Source organism: Homo sapiens, chromosome 7 (assembly GCF_000001405.40).
Source record: "Homo sapiens chromosome 7, GRCh38.p14 Primary Assembly".
NCBI classification, from domain to species: domain Eukaryota; kingdom Metazoa; phylum Chordata; class Mammalia; order Primates; family Hominidae; genus Homo; species Homo sapiens.
The window spans coordinates 149,207,866-149,229,686 of NC_000007.14; the positions used below are offsets into that span (position 1 = coordinate 149,207,866).

Consider the following 21,821-nt stretch of genomic DNA (forward strand, 5'->3'; position numbering starts at 1 on the left):
TGTACAGCGTCATCACCTCATTCGTCGGCCGACACATGCGGCTCACCTGCAGGCTCGCCCTGCAAGCCGCTTGCCTCACTCAAGAAGGAATCTTAAGCCTGAGGAAATCGGGCCCCCCGAGCACATCACACTTGATGAGCTCTTGCTGGGGTGGAAAGGGTGGAAGGCCCTAGGGTTCTAGGCCTGCCTCTGCCTTGGAAATCTTTCCTCAGGGTCAGCTTTCCTGAGCATTGTTGGATTAGGTGAAATCTGGTGCTCAAACTGTGTTCTCTACCTCATTGGAGGAACTTTTGCCTGTCTGGGCCCTCTGTCCTCCCTTGTTTTTTTGTTTTTTGTTTCTTTGAGACAGAGTCTCATTCTGTGGTTCAGGCTGGAATGCAGCGGTGCAATCTCAGCTCACTGCAACCTCCGTCTCCCAGATTCAAGTCTGCAACCTCAGCCTCACTGCAACCTCAGCCTCCCGAGTAGCTGGGACTACAGGCATACACCACTGCGCCCAGCTAATTTTTGTATTTTTAGTAGGGACAGGGTTTCACCATGTTGGCCAGGCTGGTCTTGAACTCCTGACCTCAAGTGATCCACCCGCCTCGGCCTCCCAAAGTGCTAGGATTACAGGCGTGAGCCACCATGCCCGGCCGTGTCCTCCGTTGTTTTTAAGTGGAGAACATTTTCCTGAAACTCATCTTAGAATGCAGCTCTCAAGGCCACACTCTCTCCTCCTCCCATTCCCAGTCTTTCCTTTTTTTGAGATGTGATTTACAGACCATAACATTTACTGTTTTAAAGAATGCAATTCAGTGGCTCACAAAGTCATGCAACCAAAATCATTATCTAATTCCAGAACATTTCTACCATAAGAAACCCCACACCCGGCAGGGCACGGTGGCTCACGCCTGTAATCCTAGCACTTTGGGAGGCCGAGGTGGGCGGATTAGCTGAGGTCAGGAGTTCAAGACCATCCTGGCCAACAAGGAGAAACCCCGTCCCTACTAAAAAATACAAAAAATTAGCCGGGTGCAGTGGCGTGCACCTGTAATTCCAGCTACTCGGGAGGCTGAGGCAGGAGAATCGCTGGAACCCGGGAGGTGGAGGTTGCAGTGAGCCAAGATTGTGTCACCGCACTCCAGCCTGGGCTACAGAGGGAGACTTCATCTCAAAAAAAAAAAAAGAGGGCCGGGCGCGGTGGCTCACGCCTGTAATCCCAGCACTTTGAAAGGCCGAGGAGGGCGAATCATGAGGTCAGGAGATCGAGAGCATCCTGGCTAACACGGTGAAACCGTGTCTCTACTAAAAACACAAAAAATTAGCCGGGCGTGGTGGCGGGCGCCTGTAGTCAGTCCCAGCTACTCGGGAGGCTGAGGCAGGAGGATGGCGTGAACCCGGGAGGCGGAGCTTGCAGTGAGCCGAGATTGTGCCACTGCACTCCAGCCTGGGAGACAGATTCCGTCTCAAAAAAAAAAAAGAAACCCCACACCCACAAGCAGTCCTTCCCTGCTCTCTTTTACCACCCCCCGCCCCTGGGAACCACTAATCGACTGTCCATATCTATGAATTTGCCTGTCCTGGGCATTTCCTCTAAATGGCTCCTTCCCTGTCTTCATCAAGGACTGCAGAAGTTTAAGGTCAGCAGCGGTAGTAACAGCACCTAGTCTTATGGGGTAGATTTTTACATTTGAAGCACTGTAATCTCAACAGTTTCAGTTGGTTATCAAACCATCACTGAGCATGAGATAGAACAGGGATCACTGTGTCCTTTTTGTAGATGAAAAGGGTAGACCGGAACCCAGAGAGGCTAAATGACTCATCCACTGAGTTGGTGCGGAGTTGAAGGCAGGATCCCAGTCTTCAGATTCTTTGTCTTCTCTCTTTCCTGGTGCCTGAGCCTCCTCTTGCAGCAGGGGGCGCCATCAGAAGAAAAGGCCCTGTTTGTTGCATGCTGGGCTTCTGTGTAGAGGCTATGTCCTTGTCTTTTATGCACAGTGAGTCCTCACTTAATGTCATTGATAGGGTCTCGGAAACTGTGGCTTTAAAGTGACATATAACACAACCAATTTTTCTTTCTCATCAATGTTATAACTAAACATCATAGAAGGAAATGATGTTATTTGAGGATCTGCTATGTGTCATTTCACTTGAACTCACTGTTTCCAAGAACCTGCTGACGACAGTGAGACTGGCTGTATAAGGAGGTTCTGCACTATCTGTCCAACAATAGAGCTTAGTTGTGCCTTTTTGCCCATCCCCGCTTCTCACAAATCATATATATACACGTGTGTGTGCATCTGGCCTCAACCTGGCCAGCTCTTTCTGACTGGGGTGACTAACAAGGACTAATGACTCCCACAGAGAGGTCCAACTTGTGGCCCAGTCCTGATTAGGACCCAGCCAGTTACACAGCTCTAGGTTGTTTCTGAATTCTCTCTTCAGTGTCATCACCCCTCATTTTGCTGCTTGCCTAGCCCTTTTTCTTGAATGTTGGCTTCCTCTCTGCTCCTGAGACCTTCTGCTCCTCAGGGTCCCCCATGGTTCCAATAGGAACCCGAGACCCCTGTCTTCTCCCCTGGCAAGTGCTGTCAGCCATGCTTCTGAGCCCAGAATGTCCTGGTGACCAGCATGCAGAAAAAAAGACACAAAGCAATGTCATTCTCTGTTCCCAGGAGCAGAGCTCCTGGTGCCTGCAGAAAAAAAGACACAAAGCAATGTCATTCTCTGTCCCCAGGAGCAGAGCCCCTGGTGCCTGCGCAGGATGCGTCCTCCCAGGTGAAGCGTGAGGACACCCTGTGTGTCCGGGGTCAGCGGGGCCTGGAGGAAAGAGCCATCCCTACGGAATCCATTACCGGTGAGTGAGCCAAGCAGCCGTCCACACCAGGGAGGGGAGGGGAGGGGAGAGGGTTAGCATGGTCTGCCAGCCCCCAGAGTTAGCTGTCACATGTGCCAGGCCAGAGGGCTGAGCTCGAAATGGAAGGGCTGTGCATCCAGGGCTGGGCTGAGCCAGGATTCCTCCAGGAGACACAGACGTGGCAAACAGCATTGACAATTTGCTGGTACACCTGGGCTCAGCGTGTTCTGTTTCCTCTCTTCCTCATATTATCCGTTTGTAACTATTCCATCTTCCCCTTTAGAAACAATATCCTGGCAGAAGTACTAAGTGTAAGGCTTCATGGGTGGGGGAACAGGGAGGTCAGGAAGACCTGTTGTGCCCTGACCAGGAAGGCCTTTCATTGTTTTAAACAAGTATTTATGGGCTGCTACCTCTGTGCCAGGCACCTACATACCTGCGGTCCTGTGAGGGACCTCCTCTTAGCTGGCATTGCAGCTGGACTCTGTCGTAGGTGAGAGCTCTGTTATAGCAGATGTATGTATCAATCAGAGTTCTCCAGAGAAACAGGACCTGTAAGGGTGTGTGTGGAAAAGAGAGATTTATTTTATTTTAAGGAATTGGCTTGTGATTGTGGAGGCCGGCAAGTCCAAAATTTACAGGGCAGGCCAGCAGGTTAGAGCCCCAGGGAATTGCTGATGTGGCTGCTGGAGCCTGCAGGCAGAATTCCCTTTTCCTTGGGGGAGGCCAGTCTTTTCCCTTAGGCCTTCAGCTGGTTGATGAGGCCCGCCCACATCATAGAGGGCAATCTGCTTGACTCAAGTCTACTGACTTACATGTTCAAATCTCATCTAAAAATATACCTTCATAGAAACAGCTAAATAATGTTTGACCAAATATCTGGGTACCGTGGCCGAGCCAAGTTGACACATAAAATCAACAATCATGAGACATATTAACATACTGTAGCCCTTTACTTATCCACAGGTTAGAGCTCCACAAACCTCATCCCCCCCTTAGTCAGAGCCTCACACCCATAGGTAAGTGCTCATAGTGTCTGGGTAGAGGAAAGCCCGTTCACTTGTCATCAGGCATGACCCTTGAAAGCATCACAGTATTAGGATCTTTAAGGAGATCTTTAAGAGATAAGAAGGCAATAAGGTGTAAATTAGGTTTCAGAGACTCTGTAGAAGAAAGAGAGTATAGGGTCTTTTTCTTACATCTTAGAAAAATCCCATTCAAAAGATTTAAAGGCTTCTTGTAACATTACTTTATACCCCATAAATATATACAACTATAATTTGTCAATATATAATTTAAAAAAAGAGGCTTTCTGGAAGTTTTCATCTTTCCAGAGGAAATACCTCTTTCTGTGGTGGTCTCAGCACCAGAATGGGAACCTCATTCTAAGGAGATTTAAGTTCCTGCAGCACAGAAAGGCTCTTTCTTAAAGACTGTAATGTTACTCCCCTGCAGCATCCTCTTATTTGCAGCAAAAGCTCCGTTAATTGGGGCCAAGCTGACTTCAACCTTTAGTTAATGAGACTTATGTAATTGTACCTGATGTTTAGGGGAAAGAGATAATTGCATGAAATCAGAGATTTACTCAAAACACAAACTTGCAGGAGATTTCGCATCTTCTAACACCTTTGCCGCTCTTGTTCCCGCAAGTAGACTCCCCAATTTCTGCCCAGGACCTCTTGTCCCGGATTAAACAGGAGGAGCATCAGTGCGTGTGGGATCAGCAGGATTTGGCAGACAGAGATATTCCCACGGATCCCAATTCAGGTGAGAACAAGGTCAGAATGAATCTTGAGGGCAACAAGTGTTTTTCAAAAGGAATCATTAAATTAATAATTTATTGTGTTTATGCAGCTGATACTAAAATTACTTCAGCACTGATTTTTTGTTCTTTGAGACGGAGTCTTGCTCTGTTGTTCAGGCTGGAGTGCAGTGGTGTGATCTCAGCTCACCGCAACCTCCGTTTCCCGGGTTTAAGCGATTCTCCTGCCTCAGCCTCCTGAGTAGCTGAGATTACAGGCATGTGCCACCACACCTGGCTCATTTTTTGTATTTTTAGTAGAGATGGGGTTTCACCATGTTGGTCAGGCTGCTTCTGAACTCCTGGCCTCAAATGATCTGCCCGCCTCAGCCTCCCAAAGTGCTGGGATTACGGGCATGAGCCACCGCGTCCGGCCATTCAGCACTGATTTTTGAACAATAAAAACAACCAAAAAGCATCTAAAAGCTGCATATATTTCTGTGTCAGAAAATTATTTACATTTTCTGGAATTTCTCTTGAGTGAATACTAGTTAGAAGTTTCCCAAGAAACTTGTAGGGAGGGTCTAGGCATTCAGGGAGGCATAAAAGAACAATGGAAGCCCCACCTGCCCACGACCTATGTGTGTGTCCATGTGATTGCAGAGCTGAGAAGTCCAGTGTCATTGCCTGGTAGTTAGGACACAAGTCTCATCCTACCCACCATACCAGGGAGAGAGGATGAGAAGTTGAATCTAGGATTCCTTGTACTTTGTCAACTTCACCACAGAGAAATTGAGGGGACCCAGGGCAGAGGGAAAGCGGGGCCTTCCTGCTTCACTGTGGTTCTTATCAATGACCTCTGGTTGCAGCCTCTGCCATCGCTGGTTTCTAAATCATACCTGTTAGCCATGGCCCTGAGGGCCGTTATCTGGGGCTTTCTTCTGGCCTGTCCTGGCCCCATGGGTTCCTCTGGGGCTAAGTGGCAGAGCTGGGAGATCTGGGTTTTAATCCCGGCCCTGCCACTGCACAGACCTTGGGCTAAGCCTCCTTCTGGCCAACTTGAAATGCATCGAGCAGTGAGAGTCCATTTAGGAAGGGGCTTATGAGGGTAAGGAGGATGGCCTGGAAATGCAACACCGATACCAAAACATGCCCTGCAGGTTGCAGCCACCGCATGGGATGGTTTTCAAACCTTTGATGGGAGGCCGAGTAGAACTGAACAAAATCTAAGACTGCCTTCTTTCCATGACAACAGAGTCTCTCATCTCAGCACATGACATTTTGTCATGGATCAAGCAGGAGGAGCAGCCATACCCATGGGGACCACGCGACTCAATGGACGGAGAGCTTGGATTAGACTCTGGCCCTAGTGAGTAACGTCCCCACCTAGACCCTGGGGTTTCTTCTCTGGAGCTGTACAGCTGAGGCGTGGACGAAGGCTGGTCCTCTTCTCAGCTCACCCCTCGTAGGGTGATGTTCTGTTGATGGCAGCGTTTCAAAGTTCTGCACCAAAGCACTCCCATTCTTTTTGGAGTGTGATATTGTATTAGCTCCCCAGGACTGTCATAACAGGGTACCACAGGCTGGGCAGCTTCAACAATAGAAATTTATTCTCTCACAGTTCCACAGGTTGAAAGTCCAAAATCAAGGGGTGGGCTGGGCCTTGCTCCAGACTTCCTCTGAAGTCTGTATGGGATTCCTCCCTCGCCTCTCCCAGCTTCTGCTGGGTGCCAGGAACCTCTGGCACTCCTTGGCTTGTAGATGCGTTGCTGCAAGCCTCTGTTGTCACATGGTGTTCCCTTGTGTCTGTCCTCACATGCCATCTTATAAAGACACCAGTCATATTGGATCAGGGCCTCCCTACTCTAGTATGACCTCATCTTAACTAACTACATCTGCAATGACCCCGTTTCCAAATAAGGTCACATTCTGAAGTCCTGGGGGTTAGGACTTCAACATATTTGGTGGGGAGGGGGGAAGGCACAATTTAACCCTTTATGGCAGGGAGGGGAGGAAGGGAGAGGGGCCGGGAGATTGCTGAGCCAGTGTGCCCGAGGCAGTTGACAGCAGCAGGTGGCTCACATGCTGGAAGACACTAGCCAGGCTGCACACGGTGGCTCACACCCATGATCCCAGCACTTTGGGAGGCTGAGGTGGAAGGATCTCTTGAGCTCAGGAGTTTGAAACTAGCCTGGGTAACATAGTGAGACCCACAGGGTCTACAAAAAAATTAACAAATTAGCCAGGCGTGGTGACTTATGCCTGTGGTCCCAGCTACTCTGGAGGCTGAGGTGAGAGGATCGCTTGAGCCTGGGAGGTCATGGCTGCAATGAGCCATGCTTGCACCACTGCACTCCAGCCTGGGCGAGAGCGAGATCCTGTCTCAAAAAAACCTGAAAGAAAAAACAAAAAACACTAGAAGTACCCCAGGCATCCCTGAGCTACCATCCCGGAGTCACTGATGAACACACTGAAGCTCAAAGAGAAAGGGAGGATTGTTTTCCCAACAGGTATGGAACCAAATGTCTCACCAGACTTGGGTCTCTTGGGTCTTTCTGAAGCTCCCTTATTGACCTATGACCCTAGGCATATGTTTATGGATTGTTGAACATTCTTAGCTCAGGCTAATATTCCTCGCTAAAACCCAGTACCATCCCCTTGCCCTCAACATGGCTGACCTAGTGTCTTCTGGCTGGTCAAAGGCTTAACAGAATAGCTGCATGTGTGTTCCCTGTCCATATTTCCTGACATTTTTTTTTTTTTTTTTTTTTTTTTGAGACAGAGTCTCACTCTGCCGCCCAGGCTGGAGCGCAGTGGTGCGATCTAGGCTTACCACAACCTCCGCCTTCTGGGTTCCAGCAATTCTTCCACCTCAGCCTCCCGAGTAGCTGGGATTACAGGTGTGTGCCACCATGCCTGGCTAATTTTTGAATTTTTAGTAGAGACGAGGTTGCACCATGTTGGCCAGGCTGGTCTCGAACTCCTGACCTCAGGTGATCTGCCCACCTTGGCCTCTCAAAGTGCTGGGATTACAGGCATGAGCCATAGTGCCCAGTGCTGACATCTTGAAGGAGCTTAAACTTCACGTAAGAGCGGAGGACATGGGTTGTTTCTGGTTCTGAACAGCCATTTCAAACTCAGGCAAGCGGATCACACTCTCTATAAGACAACTTAGTTCTAGAAGAGCCAGTGTGGGCCTGGAGGAATTGGCAGGAACGAGATAGGAACAATGTATGTCCTTATTTCAAGTAGAATTGAAAGCGGTCCTCTTTGTAACTGCTGGCTTGGTGGGATGAGATGGGGGAAGCCAGGAAACTGGTGGTGAGCACCGGAAGAAAGCCAACTCCATCTCTTCCTCCACAGCTGGTAGGCTACCATTGCTAGCCCTGGCCCGAAGGCATAGGAACTAGTGCATCTGACCTGGGGCCAGGAAATTCTGCCCAAACCCTTCCTTATCCCTCAATGCTGTCTTCTGATTCTTCCCAGTTGGCTAGGAGCATGTGGGCCTAGAGGAGCCTGTTCTTGGGGACTTGTGCTGTGTGGAAAGCAGTCTAGGAAGGCCCATAGAGAACTTGCAAGGATTTGCAAAGGACCCCACCATTTTCCTACTTAAGTTTGGATATCATAGAATGATTTGCCTCATGTTGTTTTATCTTTTTTTTGTTTGTTTAAAGACAGGGTCTCACTCTGCCGCTCAGGCTGGAGTGCAGTGGTGTGATCCTGGCTCACTGCAGCCTCCATCTCCTAGGTTCAAGTGATGCTCCTGCCTCAGCCTCCCAAATAGCTGGGACTACAGGCATGCACCACTGTGCCTCAGTAATTTTTTAAAATGTTTTGTAGAGATAGGGTCTTGCTATATTACCCACGCTGGTCTGAACTTCTGGCCTCAAGCAATCCTCCCACCTGGGCCTCCCAAAGCTCTGGGATTACAGGCAGGAGCCACCAGGCCCAGCCCGTTATTTTATATTTGAAGGACCTTTGAACCCTAGCATTTGGGAGGAAATGCACAGAATTTAGGAGATAGGAGTATCTGGAAATGGTTCTCTTGCCTGCCAAGTCACGACAGCCTCTTATCAGAACCTCTGTTCTTTCTCCCAAAGTGAGCCTGCTTCCTATTTATCAGTGTTGGAATTTGACACTGGCCTGTCATCTGTGGTTTCTTTGATGTTTAAAACCAACCTAGTATTGTGGTTGCCAGGGACAGCCAGATGGTAGCCATGCTATTATGTGGAAGAGTCTTCTGGAAAGGGGATGGAGGGGAGAAGAGTCAGGGTAGAGAACACAGTGCAGACACGGGATACCTGTCCTTGCCAACTTCCTTCTCCAGCCCTGGGATATGTAAGAGGGAAATAACTGGTATCCGTTTGACTCAAAGGCAGACCTCAACCCAATTGGATATTACATTCTTGTAAAAGGGACTCCTGAATTTATTTATTAATGAGTGTATACTGAGTCTCGCTCTCAGCATGTTAGTGTAAGACAAGAAGAAGATTCAGTTTGCCCAAAGTTAATGTACATCAGTGCCTCCACTGAAGCAGGAAGCGTAGCTAGGACTCTGGAGTGCAGTGGCTAAAAGGTGCTTCCGGAGTGAGAGGTGGTAAAGATCCTGAAGCTGGGCCACCATTCCCAGGTGCCAACACCCACAGAATATGACGTGAAAGCACCCTCTTGAAATTCCCACATTATTCACTACATTGGGTTAAAACAGTGGTTCCAACCTTTCATAGTTTATATTTTTTTTAGCAGGTATTTACTTAATGCCTGCTATGTGTTACACAGTATTGTAAGCACTTAGAATAAGCAGTGAAGGGCCAGGTGTGGTAGCTCAGGCCTGTAATCCCGGCACTTTGGGAGGCCAAGGCAGTTGGATCACCTGAGGTCAGGAGTTCCAGACCAGCCTGGCCAACATGGTGAAACTCCGTCTCTACTAAAAATACAAAAAACAAACAAACAAACAAACAAAAAACAACTAGCCAGGAGTGGTGGTGGGCACCTGTAACTCCAGCTACTTGGGAGGCTAAGGCAGGAGAATTGCTTGAATCCGGGAGGCGGAGGTTGCAGTGAGCCAAGATTGCGCCCCTGCACTACAGCCTGGGTGGCAGAGTAAGGCTCTGTCTCAAAAAAAAAAATTGGGAGTGAAGAAAGACCTTTTCTTTTGTGGGAAGAGGATGAATAAGCAGGCCAGCAAGCAGGCAAGGTAAAGCCAGGATGCAGCAATGCTCTGAGAACAATGGCAGGGAGAACAGGAAGGAGTGTGGACATGAGGCAGAGCAAAGACAGAGTGGTCAGGAAAGGCCTCCGAGGGGAAGCGGTGCCTGACTGAGTGTGCCCTTGGCAGTGGGAAGGAGCCGGCCGTGGGGTTGCAGGGGGAAGAGAAGACCAAGAAGAGGGAAGTGAAGGCAGGGCCATGGAGGCTTTGGGGAGGAGGATGGAGCCGTAGACTGAGGCACCTGAGCATGTATGACCTATGGGCCAAGTTAGAGTTTGGATTTTATTCTTACAAGAAAGGAGACTAGGCCGGGTGTCATGGCGGGCACCTGTAATCCCAGCTGCTCGGGAGGCTGAGGCATGAGAATCCCTTGAACCCAGGAGGTGAAAGTTGCAGTGAGATCATGCCACTGCACTCCAGCCTGGGTAACAAAGCGAGACCCTGTCTCAGAAAAAAAAAAAAAAAAGAGAGAGAGAGAGACTAATAAAGGGTATGAAATCGGACATGATCTGGTTTACGTTTTTATAGGATTTCAGGAGTGGATTGGCGGGGGGTGCGGAGCCATGTCTGAGGCTCATGCATTTGATGCAGACCAAGTGGAGAGATGCTGGTGGTCAGAGCTGGGGTAGCAGCAGTGCACAGGGAGAGAAAGGACAGATTCAGATGCACTTTGAGAGTGTCACTCATGGGTTGCCTGTGGGGGCTGTGGAATCAAGACTGACTCCTGGGTCTGGGTCCTACAGAAGTGGGTGAATGGTAGTACTGTTTGCTGAAGTGCCAAGCCCTGGAAAAGAACCTGTGTTGCTGGTTCTAGTTTGGAGTCAAGAGTTCTAGTTTGGACCTATTAAAATTTGAGGTGACACTCAAGTAGCAGATCAAGTAGGTGAATATAGGAGTCTGAAGTTCAAGAGAGAGCTTGGGGATAGACTGATTTGGGAGTTACAGGTTGCAGTGACTTCCAACATCAGCGACCTGTAATTGGCCAAACCTCACAGGTTGAGGGCTCATGCCTCCACAGGACCGTTCTCTCTTCAGACACCAGCTGCAAATTTGGGGGTTCTAGGCCACCCTCACTTCTGACCAGCTGGCTACAAATTCTGGGCTTCCCATCACCCCGTCATAATTTGCTAGAATGACTCATAGAACTCAGGAAAGTGCTATATATATCATTACAGTTTTATCACAGCAAAAGGATTCAAATCAGAGCTAGCCAAAAGGAGATCCATAAGGCTAGGTCTGGGATGGTCCTAAGCCTGAAATTTCCATTGTTCCCTCCCTGTGGAGTCAGGATGTGTCACCCTCCCAGCATGTCAACGTGTGAAAATATGCAGAGCATTGCCAACCAGGGAAGTTCGCTGAGCTTTGGCGTTCCGAGTTTCTGTTGGGGCTTCTTTATATAGATATGATTGATTGAATCATTAGCCACGAGGTTCAGCTCAGTCTCCAGCCCCTTTCCCTCCCTGGAGGTTGGGCCTCAAACCCTAAACCTTTAGTCACGTGCTTGGTCTTTTCAGCATGGCAGCCCCATCCTTTGTCATCTCCTTAGCTTAAACTCTCTAAGATCCCACCATGAATAACAAAGGCACCCCTGTCACTCGGGAAATCCAGAGATTTAGAGGCTCCTTCCCAGGAACCAGGGACAAAGGCCAGTCAAGTTATTACACTTAGGTTGTTCAGGACTATATGAGTTCTAGGGACAGTGTAAACAAAGAATTAAAGAGATCTTAGCTCTGAGCATGGCAGAAAACCAGAGGGGCAAGGTGTTACAGAGGCTGGGAGAAGAGAATCTCTTGGGGAGGGTTAACTATGTCAGACACCCATGAGTGGTTGCATATGCAGGACAGGGAAGAGCCTGGGGGATTTGACAGGTTGGATATTGTTGGTGATCTCGGCAAAAGTTTTTCAATGGAGGTTGGGTGTGGTGGCTCACACCTGTAATCTCAGCACTTTGGGAGGCCGAGGCAGGTGGATCATTTGAGGTCGGGAGTTCGAGACCAGCCTGGCCAACATGGAGAGACCCTGTCTCTACTAAAAATACAAAAATTAGCCAGGCATGGTGGCAGGCATCTGTAATCCCAGCTACTTGGGAGGCTGAGGCAAGAGAATCGCTTGAACCTGGGAGGTGGAGGTTGCAGTGAGCAGAGATTGTGTCACTGCACTCCAGCCTGGGCAACAGAGCAAGACTTGGTCTCAAAAACGAAAAAGTTTTTCAGTGGAATGGCAAGGGTGCATGCCTGATTGGAATCATCTAAAAAGAATGGGAGGTGAAGAAGTGGTAAGGGCAAGTGCAGTGACTCTTGATGAGTCTTACTATGAAAAGGAACAGAAATGACATGTGAGGAGCTGGGGCACGGGCCACATGGGCCTAGGGAGGGGGTTCTTTTAAGGTCGGAGATAACTAGACCATTGTCTCGGGTCAGATGCTCCCAACTACTTTAGAACCCTGATTCAAACTGCCTTAAAGAATAAAGAAGCCGGGCACGGTGGCTCACGCCTGTAATCCCAGCACTTTGAGAGGCCGAGACGGGCGGATCCTGAGGTCAGGAGATCGAGACCATCCTGGCTAACACGGTGAAACCCCGTCTCTACTAAAAATACAAAAAAATTAGCCTGGCGTAGTCGTGGTGGGCGCCTGTAGTCCCAGCTACTCGGGAGGCTGAGGCAGGAGAATGGCGTGAACCCAGGAGGCGGAGCTTGCAGCGAGCTGAGATCGCGCCACTGCACTCCAGCCTGCGCAACTGAGCCAGACTCCGTCTCCAAAAGAAAAAAAAAGAATAAAGAAATTTCTTCTCTTACGTAACTGGAAGTCCTAAGGTAGGTCAGGTTCAGGCTTAGTTGATTCAAAGACTCAGCATGTTTTCAAGGACCCAGGTTCTTTCCAATTCCTTGCCTGACCATCCTCGGTGTGGCTTCATCCCCAGGCTGGTAGCACAGCAGCTGCAGCTGTCCCAAGCGTCGCATCCAGACATGAGTGTACAGGAAAGCCCATCTTTTCCTGCACACTCTAAGGAATGAGGAAATCTTTCCAGAAGCCTCCCAGCAAACTTCCCATACCCTACTGACCATAACTAGGTTACATGCTTGCATGTGAATCACTTACCAGCCAGTGACTGGAAAGGAAAAGCCCTCAGGGCCATGCATGGGTTGGGGGGGAGGGGCGTAGGATAGAGGAGGAAGGATGACGTAATCATTCCAGAGTGGAAAAGTAAAACCCACTAGAGACGTGGGCCAGGATGCCAGGCTGTGTGGAGGCCCCTGGAGGGTTTTTTTTTTTTTTTTTTTTGAGATAAGGTTTCACTCTGTCACCCAGGCTGGAGTACAGTGGCGCGATCACGGCTCACCGCAGCCTCGACCTCTCAGGTTTAAATAATCCTCTCGCATCAGTCTTCTGAGTAGCTGGGACCACAGGCGTGTGTCACAGTACCTAATTTTTAAATGTTTTTTTGTAGAGATGGGGTCTCCCTAGGTTGCCTAGGCTGGTCTCAAACTCCTGGGCTCAAGCAATCCTTCTGCCTTGGCCTCCCAATGTGCCGGGATTACAGGCATGAGCCACAGTGCCTGGCCAGCTTGTGCAGTTTTTCAGCTGCCTGAGTGCAGTCACAGGACTGGAGTTCTCCAGGCAAGCACAACGGCGGAGCAAAGGCAATCACCGTGCCCTTGCAAGTGCCTGGGCTGCCGGGCCTGGAGAGCCAAGTTGGGTCAGGAAGGCAGAAAAAGGTTGGAGGTGGAGGGCATAGCGGGATGGTGAGAACGTGGATTGAGGTTCACACTGGGTTGGAAGACGGTCAGAGTAGGACTGCCTTAGGTGGGCTTCCCGGGAGACAGCCCCTGGGAGTTTATGTGCATATAGTTTCTTTGCAAGTCCTCTGGGAATAACACCTGGGAAGGAGTGAGAGTAGCAGGACTGGGTAGACAGAGAAGCAAACACCCTCAGTGCCGTGGCCACAGAGGCCACAGCGATCTCCCGGGATTCTCTGGAGCTGGGATGACCCTTCCCAGGCATCCTGCACTGATGTGAAGAGAATTCTTTTGGCCTCTGCACCTGGCCAGTGTCCTGCAGAGATGGTTCTCTGCCAGGCCAATTTTGATTGAGACAGAGAGGGAGGGCAGGCCCAGTCTATTTAAGAGTATCATATAAGGACAGACCTCAGTCAAACACCAACGAATATAGGAGGGCTGGGTGGAAACATGGCAGATGTGGCCTGGGAAGTGGCCTCCGGGGAGCAGTTGGGTCCTAGGCAGAGGGGTGTGAGCACGGAGAAAAGGATGCTGAGAAGAGGTGGGAGGCCGTCTCTTTCTTCAGAGCTCTTCCACAGGCTTCCCCTAAATTGGGGAGCAGGACTCCTCTAGGGAGAAAGGAATTCAAACTGAAGACCAGGGAGGTGATGGAGCGTGAGGCATGAGAACCACTGGGCTGGGGGACAGGGTGGGTGGGAGGGGGAAGGACTGGGCCTGACGTCACCATTCTGATGCTCAGAGCCTGGGCTTTGTCTCCCACTGCCCCCCAAGGTGGTGGAGAACTGTGCACTTGGAGGAAAGGGGGCAAGAACCGCATTTCCTGGGGTGGTAGGTTGGGTGGCCACTGCCACGAGTGCAAGGAGGGCCTGTTATGGTGCTGCCAAGGTCCAGGTGGGTCAGGTGCCAGGGTGGGACTCACATGTCCCAGCTGCCCACACCTGCCCAAGTCAGATGCCCCACATGCTTAGTGGAAACATGACTGCCAACCCATCTGATGCTTATGTTTCCAGCTCCCTGCATTCCATTCCTGTGGGCCTCTAGATGGTTTTCACCTTGGATAAAATTCTTTTCTTCCTATTGAGAGACTGTCCTGAGATAAAAGTGAGCATTGTCAGTGTGTGTGCTGGCTCACATCTGTAATCCCAGCACTTTGGGAGGCCAAGGTGGGAGGATTGCTTGATCCCAGGAGTTGGAGACCAGCCTGGGCAACATAGTGAGACCCTGTCTCAACAAAAATTTATTTTTTATTTTTTATTTTTATTTATTTATTTTTTGAGTCAGAGTCTCGCTCTGTCGCCAGGCTGGAGTGCAGTGGCAGGATCTCAGCTCACTGCAACCTCCGCCTCCCAGGTTCAAGTGATTCTCCTGCCTCAGCCTCCCAAGTAGCTGGGACTACAGGTGCGTGCCACCATGCCCAGCTAATTTTCGTATTTTTAGTAGAGATGGGGTTTCACTATGTTGGGCAGGATGGTCTCGATCTCTTGACCTCGTGATCCACCCACCTCGGCCTCCCATAGTGCTGGGATTACAGGCGTGAGCCACTGCGCCTGGCCTTTTTAAATTGTATTTTATTTATTTACTTTTTTGAGAGACAGAGTTTCGCTCTTGTTGCCCAGGCTGGATGCCTGGGCCAGTGCAATGGCAAGATCTCAGCTCACTGCAACCTCTGCCTCCCCGGTTCAAGTGATTCTCCTGCCTCAGCCTCCTGAGTAGCTGGGATTACATGCATGGGCCACCACTCCCGGCTAATTTTGTATTTTTAGTAGAGACGGGGTTTTTCCATGTTGGTCAGGCTGGTCTCCAACTCCTGAACTAAGGTGATCCGCCCACCTCGGTCTCCCAAAATGCTGGGATTACAGGCGTGAGCCACTGCGACCGGCCGAAAAGATTTGTTTTTTTTTTTTAATTAGCTGGGCCTGGTGGCGCATGCTTATGGTCCCAGCTACTTGGCAGGCTGAGGTGGGAGGATCACTTGAGCCCAGGAAGTCAAGGCTGCAGTGAGCCATGATCTCACCAGTGCACTACAGCCTGGGAGACAGAGCCAGACCCTGTCTGGAAAAACAAACAAACAAAAAACATTGTCCATCAGACTGCAAGTAAGTCTTGTTGTTTCTGGGAAATTCTGCCTTCCAAAATGACTTCTGGACAGCAGGTCCCCTACCCCTTAGCCCTCAGCGTTCTGGAGGGACTTCCTGTCCTTGCTGCGTGCCACCTGCTTGACCCGTTTCTGGGCTCCACAGCAGGGTGGCTTCGAACAGGTCGAAGGGCCACGTAGATCGTGGCCCAGCACCTTGTGCAATCCCTCGTAGTTAGTGGAACTGAGGCTCAGATAGCATGCTCCCTGGGCCCCCCTTCGGGAGCAGTGTGGGGTCCTGGCCGAGAACCCCTGTCAGCATGTCACTTCTTCCTATCTCCCCAGGTGACAGCCTGCTGATGGTGAAGAACCCACCCCCGGCCCCGCCACAGCCCCAGCCCCAGCCCCAGCCACCGCAGCCGCAGCTGCAGTCGCAGCCCCAGCCCCAGAGCCTGCCCCCCATCGCGGTGGCCGAGAACCCGGGCGGCCCCCCGAGCCGAGGGCTGCTGGACGACGGTTTCCAGGTGCTGCCCGGGGAGCGTGGCTCCGGCGAGGCGCCGCCGGGTGGGGACCGCAGCACCGGGGGCGGCGGGGGCGATGGGGGCGGTGGGGGCGGCGGCGCGGAGGCGGGGACGGGGGCAGGCGGCGGCTGTGGCAGCTGCTGCCCTGGCGGGCTGCGGCGGAGCCTCCTCCTGCACGGCGCCCGCAGCAAGCCCTACTCGTGCCCCGAGTGCGGCAAGAGCTTCGGCGTGCGCAAGAGCCTCATCATCCACCACCGCAGCCACACCAAGGAGCGGCCCTACGAGTGCGCTGAGTGCGAGAAGAGCTTCAACTGCCACTCGGGCCTCATCCGCCACCAGATGACGCACCGCGGCGAGCGGCCCTACAAGTGCTCGGAGTGCGAGAAGACCTACAGCCGTAAGGAGCACCTGCAGAACCACCAGCGGCTGCACACGGGCGAGCGGCCTTTCCAATGTGCACTGTGCGGCAAGAGCTTCATCCGCAAGCAGAACCTGCTCAAGCACCAGCGCATCCACACGGGCGAGCGCCCCTACACGTGCGGCGAGTGCGGCAAGAGCTTCCGCTACAAGGAGTCGCTCAAGGACCACCTGCGCGTGCACAGCGGCGGCCCGGGCCCCGGCGCCCCACGGCAGCTCCCGCCGCCTCCTGAGCGAGACTAGGGCTGGGCTGGGGGAGGGCAGGGCCGGACGGAGTGGATCGGGGGCGGCCTGAGCACCAACCACCTTGCCGGGTGTCCTCAGCCACCGTCTGGAAATCGGCAACAGGCATTGCACTCCGGTTGGGGGTCCCCCAGGGTGGGGCAGGGATCCCCCAGATCTGTCTGGTCTGAATGGACGCCCAGCTCATCTAGGGTGGACCCAGCTGCTGGGGAAGAGCCAGGGGGACCGCGAGGAGCCGAGCGTCCTCGGGCACCGCCCTCACACCTCCTCGAGTGCCCTGGGACCACTGGGCCACAGATGGTCATCAGGGGAAGCCACCAGGGAGTCCCGAAGCCCTTCTGAGATCAGGAAATCAGGTCCCAAGGTTAGGAGACGCCCTGAAAAAAAGCGAAGGCCGAGGGATGTGCTAAGGGTAACACCTTCATGATGACAACACTGCCTCGCGTTTCAATAGCGCTTTATACTTTTTTAAGTGTTTTCTATCCGTTATCCATTTCACCCTTGGCCTATCCCTCTCAGATAGGTGGGGTAGGATTTTCCTGGTGACCGAGTAAAGTGAGAGGCAGGTGAGACGGTTCACCCAATCACACGGGAAGGGGCGCGCGCTGCCCAACCGCGCTCTCCGCCTACCTCCGCTGCTCGGGAAGCTGCTGGCCTGGCCCTCCTGGTCTCTCTTCCTTTCCTGGTCTCTCTTCCTTTCCTTGCTCTCACCCACGGATAAAACCAGAAGCGACAGGAGGCCAGCTCCTGGGGTTCCTGGGAGCCGGGAACAGATTGGCTACGGAACGCCCCAGGTTGTACATTCAGAGGGCTCTTTCTCCATGGGAGCTCCTGGTGCCGCCTCGGCCCCAGCCTGTCCCCAGCCCCTCAATCTGGTGCAGCAGCATCTTGTCACTGCACAACAGTGGCCTGGTCCCCCACAGGCAGTTAGGGCCCCAGGTCAGACCTCACCATGATGATTTGTTCCAGTTCTCCCAGGGCAGAGGGGCGAGGGAGAGGCTTTTGCTGTGAGAGTAGCCGTCACGTGTCTCTTCCCAGCAGCGCCGGGCAAGTGGGTGCTAGAGTCTGAGCCTCAGGCTCTCCTGCCCTGGGCCTCCCAATTGGTGCTATCTGTTACTGCCCGTGCTCACGGACATGGATACAGACCCTGCTGTGCTCCACACCCTGCAGGCGCCTCGGGAAGCGCCCAAAGGATTCCCCTTCACGTTGGTGCACCTGCTCCATAGCTCCGGGCGCTGCGTCCCGAGGGGCCACAGTCTCCATTTCAGCGTCTTGCATGGCCTGGCACCGGGTGGGGTGGTATGCCCCAGGACCCTTGTTTGTGTCAAAAATGACTTTCCCTGCCCTTGCCGTGGGTCCGGCGTTCCTCCCAGCCGGGATCACAGTGGGCAGCCGGCACCCGGCACCACTTTGGCGAGCGTCCTGCTTCCGCCCTCGCCCTCATCTACGCTGCTCCGCTTTCCTCAGACCCCTTTTTGCCGTGCAAAGGGAATTCTTGACATTAAATAAAAGGTATCCAGATTGCAGACTGCATGTTCACAGAGCTGGGGGTTCTCCAGCTTGCCTACAGTAAAGCCTCAATGAACTGGAATCCAATTCAATGGGGTATTTTTTTTTCTTCATTCTGCTTTTTGAAGGAGACAAATCTTAAGAAAGCAAATTGAGATGAGAAATTAGACAGGGTTCAGTAGAGTTTTGTTAGAGCAGAAGGGGACCCTCCAGTGATCAGTTGCTGGGGGAGGGGGGTAGTGTGCCACTTTTAAAAAGCATATGCACGAAGTATTTTCCTAATCTAGATCATGGAAAGGTCAGAATGTCTTTTGGTTGCAGGAGTGTGAGGAGAGGGGAGACGTCACTTGAGACATGGGTTTAAAACACCTGGCCGGGCGCGGTGGCTCACACCTGTATTCCCAGCACTGGGAGGCCGAGGCGGACGGATCCCGAGGTCAGGAATTTGAGACCAGTCTGACGAAAATGGTGAAATCCCGTCTCTACCAAAAATACAAAAATCAGCCGGGCGTGGTGGCGGGTGTCTGTAATCCCAGCTACTCAGGAGGCTGAGACAGGAGAATCGCTTGAACCCAGGAGGTGGAGATTGCAGTGAGCGGAGATCGCACCACTGCACTCCAGCCAGGGCGACAGAGCGAGACCCCGACTCAAAAACAAAAAAACACCTGAGCACAAGGCTCAGTGTGATCCCTTTATTTTACCTTCAAGGGGCTGATTCCCAAGGAGACCTAGGGACTGAGCTAGTGAGAGCCAAGCCTCTCTGCTTTCCTGTATCCTAGGCTGGTGGATACCACTGCACCAAGTACCCCTCAGCTACACCATGAGTCGCCCCAAGCCCTGGCACAGGTTGCTGGAGCATCCCATAGTGAGCCTCATCCCCAGAGCTGATCGGGGATGGTGACACTCAGGATGTTAGCCTCTGCTGGCTCCCAGGCAGCGAAGATCCTCAGTGAAGACCCTGGAGTCCACATCCTGAAGCAGAACAGGGGTTTTGCTTTGGGGGTGGATTTTTATTTTCCTTCTGAGAAAATGTAGTTTATGTAGAGACAAAGTCTTGCTCTGCCATTCAGGCTGAGTGCAGTGGTGCAATCTTGGCTTACTGCAGCCTTGACCTCTGGAGCTGAAGCAATCCGGTTGGGCGTGGTGGCTCATTCATGTAACCCCAGCACTTTGGGAGGCTGAGGTGGGAGGATTGCTTGAGACCAGGAGTTTCAGACTGCCCTTCCAACATAGTGAGACCCCTGTCTCTAGAGTAAAGAAAAAAATTTTAAAAACAGAGACAGGCCAGGCATGGTGGCTCACACCTGTAATCCCAGCGCTTTGGGAGGCCAAGGTGGATGGATTGCCTGAGTTCAGGAGTTTGAGACCAGCCTGGGCAACATGGTGAAACCCCATCTGTACTGAAATACAAAAAATTACCCGGCCGTGATAGTGGGTGCCTGTAATCCCAGCTACTTGGGAGGCTGAGGCAGGAGAATCGCTTGAACCCGGGAGGCAAAGGTTGCAGTGAGCCGAAATGGCACCACTGCACTCCAGCCTGGGCGACAGAGCGGGACTCCTCAAAAAAAGAGAGAGATAGGATTTCACTCTGTTGTCCAGGCTGAAGTGCAATGATTCAATCATTGCTCATTGCAGCCACGAACTCCTGGGCTCAAGCAGTCTCTTGCCTCAGCCTCCCCAGTGGCTGGGACTATAGGCATGCATGCATCACCACACCTGGCTATTTTGTTTTTCTTTACTTTTTGTAGAGATAGGGTCTTGCTATGTTGCCCAGGCTGGGCTTGAACTCCTGAGCTCAAGCAACCCTCCCACCTCAGCCTCCCAAAGTGCTGAGATTACAGATGTGAACTGCTGCACCTGGCCTTTTATTTATTTATTTATTTATTTATTTATTTATTTATTTATTAATTAGATGGAATCTCACTCTGTTGCCCAGGCTGGAGTGCAGTGGTGCCATTTCAGCTCACTGCAAACTCCGCCTCCTGGGTTCAAGTGATTCTCCTGCCTCAGCCTCCGGAGTAGCTGGGATTACAGGCCCCCACCACCATGCCCAGCTAATTTTTGTATTTTTAGTAGAGATGGCGTTTCACTATGTTGGCCAGGCTGGTCTTTAACTCCCGACCTCAAGTGATCCGCCCACCTCGGCCTCTCAAAGTGCTGGGATTACAGGTGTGAACCACCTCGCCCAACCCAGCCTATTTTTTTAATTGACTTTTAATTTAAAAATCAATGCAGTCCAGACATGGTGGCTCACGCCTGTAATCTCAGCAATTTGGGAGGCCTAGGCGGGCGGATCATGAGGTCAGGAGTTTGAGACCAGCGTGGCCAACATGGTGAAACTCTGTCTCTACTAAAAACACAAAAATTAGCCAGGTGTGATGGCACACACCTGTAATCCCAGCTACTCAGGAGGTTGAGGCAGGAGAATCGCTTGAACCCGGGAGATGGAGCTTGCAGTGAGCCAAGATTGTGCCACTGCATTCCAGCCTGGGTGACAGAGTGAGACTCCGTCTCCAAAAAAAAAAACAAAACCAAACAAACAAACAAAAAAAAACACACACAATGCATGCAATAAAAATTCGAACAGTTTAAAAAAAAAAAGAAAAAGAAAAGAGGACACAATAAAGAGTGAAACTCTTTCCTAACACACTTCCTGGAAGTATCCACTGCTGAAAGCTGCATCTGTGTCCTTACAGACCTGTGTTCAATTTCCCAGACATTCAAATTACTTCCTCATTTCAGGATATGCTGTTCTGGGCTTTCTGTCCTCATCAGCCTAGGAAGCTCTAACAGGGACATCTGGATTGTAGCATTCCTTCCTCAGCACTGTACCAGATGATCAGGTACAAGGAGTGCTCTGCAAAGGTTGCTGCTCCAAAAAGCTCAAGAGAGTAGAACGTTTCCTGAGATGGGTGGACAGCTCAGGGAACTTCATGCTCATGGCCTCAGTTTGTGCCTTACTTTATGGAAAGGGCAAGGCAGGGTGTTAGGAGAATGAGATTGAGGATGGACGGATGGCTGCATTGTTATTGTTTCATGAACATCTATTAGGGAACAAAGAAGAGTAAGACCTAGTCCTTGCCCTCTGGGAGCCTGACGTCTAAAGGAGAGAAGGTATTTGTGAGAACAACACTACTAGAAAGCATATGACTGCATGAGGGTGGGGGCTTGAGAAATATACGCCTGATCTTCTGGAAGGCTCGCTGCAGGACATCCCGCTGAGAAGTTGGGAAAATACTGGTCTGTAGAAGCCATACTGAGCTAGTGATGGTCAAGGCTAAGTCTCCGGTTTCCTGGATCCTGGGTTGGGGGATCCCGCTGCACTAGTGCCCCTCAACTACACCGTGAGTCACCCCAGCCCCCAGCACAGGCCCTAGGAGAGTCCCGTAGGGAGCTCTAACCACAGAGCTGATCAAAGATGGTGACACTCAGGATGCTGGCCTCTGCATTTTGTTCACTTGAATACCTCTTTAGTATTTAGCACGTGTCTAGCCTGGATGGGCACCACAGGGGGTACAAGTGATCGGAGT

The 21,821-nt window shown here is 51.5% G+C and overlaps 1 protein-coding gene across 3 annotated transcripts in view, besides 3 other annotated features; it reads left to right on the top strand.

Annotated features, from left to right (window-relative positions):
• Positions 1 to 18,378, top strand: part of ZNF282 (zinc finger protein 282) — a 30,698-nt gene extending 12,320 nt beyond the window's left edge. The window contains exons 5-9 of one of the 3 annotated variants that reach the window (NM_001303481.3): positions 2,720 to 2,839; positions 4,493 to 4,606; positions 5,836 to 5,949; positions 15,947 to 16,125; positions 16,383 to 18,378. In NM_001303481.3, the coding sequence (NP_001290410.1) occupies positions 2,720 to 2,839; positions 4,493 to 4,606; positions 5,836 to 5,949; positions 15,947 to 16,125; positions 16,383 to 16,415 (560 nt within the window). In that variant the 3' untranslated portion in view covers positions 16,416 to 18,378. Of the gene's footprint in view, positions 1 to 2,719; positions 2,840 to 4,489; positions 4,607 to 5,835; positions 5,950 to 15,946 lie in introns of all 3 variants that reach the window. The other 2 variants (XM_006716151.5, NM_003575.4) reach the window with 2 other exon arrangements.
• Positions 1,476 to 2,190: an enhancer, noted in NCBI's record as "NANOG-H3K4me1 hESC enhancer chr7:148906433-148907147 (GRCh37/hg19 assembly coordinates)". NCBI's record gives its function as "activates a minimal SCP1, AML or CMV promoter by ChIP-STARR-seq in naive and primed H9 embryonic stem cells {active_cell/tissue: H9 hESC(naive and primed)}" and the evidence as "EXISTENCE:reporter gene assay evidence [ECO:0000049][PMID:30033119]".
• Positions 11,973 to 12,962: an enhancer, noted in NCBI's record as "H3K4me1 hESC enhancer chr7:148916930-148917919 (GRCh37/hg19 assembly coordinates)". NCBI's record gives its function as "activates a minimal SCP1, AML or CMV promoter by ChIP-STARR-seq in primed H9 embryonic stem cells {active_cell/tissue: H9 hESC(primed)}" and the evidence as "EXISTENCE:reporter gene assay evidence [ECO:0000049][PMID:30033119]".
• Positions 18,742 to 18,949: a silencer, noted in NCBI's record as "fragment chr7:148923698-148923905 (GRCh37/hg19 assembly coordinates)". NCBI's record gives its function as "represses an EF-1alpha promoter that drives an FKBP-Casp9 reporter gene in an ReSE screen in phorbol 12-myristate 13-acetate-treated (for megakaryocytic differentiation) K562 erythroleukemia cells {active_cell/tissue: K562(+PMA)}" and the evidence as "EXISTENCE:reporter gene assay evidence [ECO:0000049][PMID:32094911]".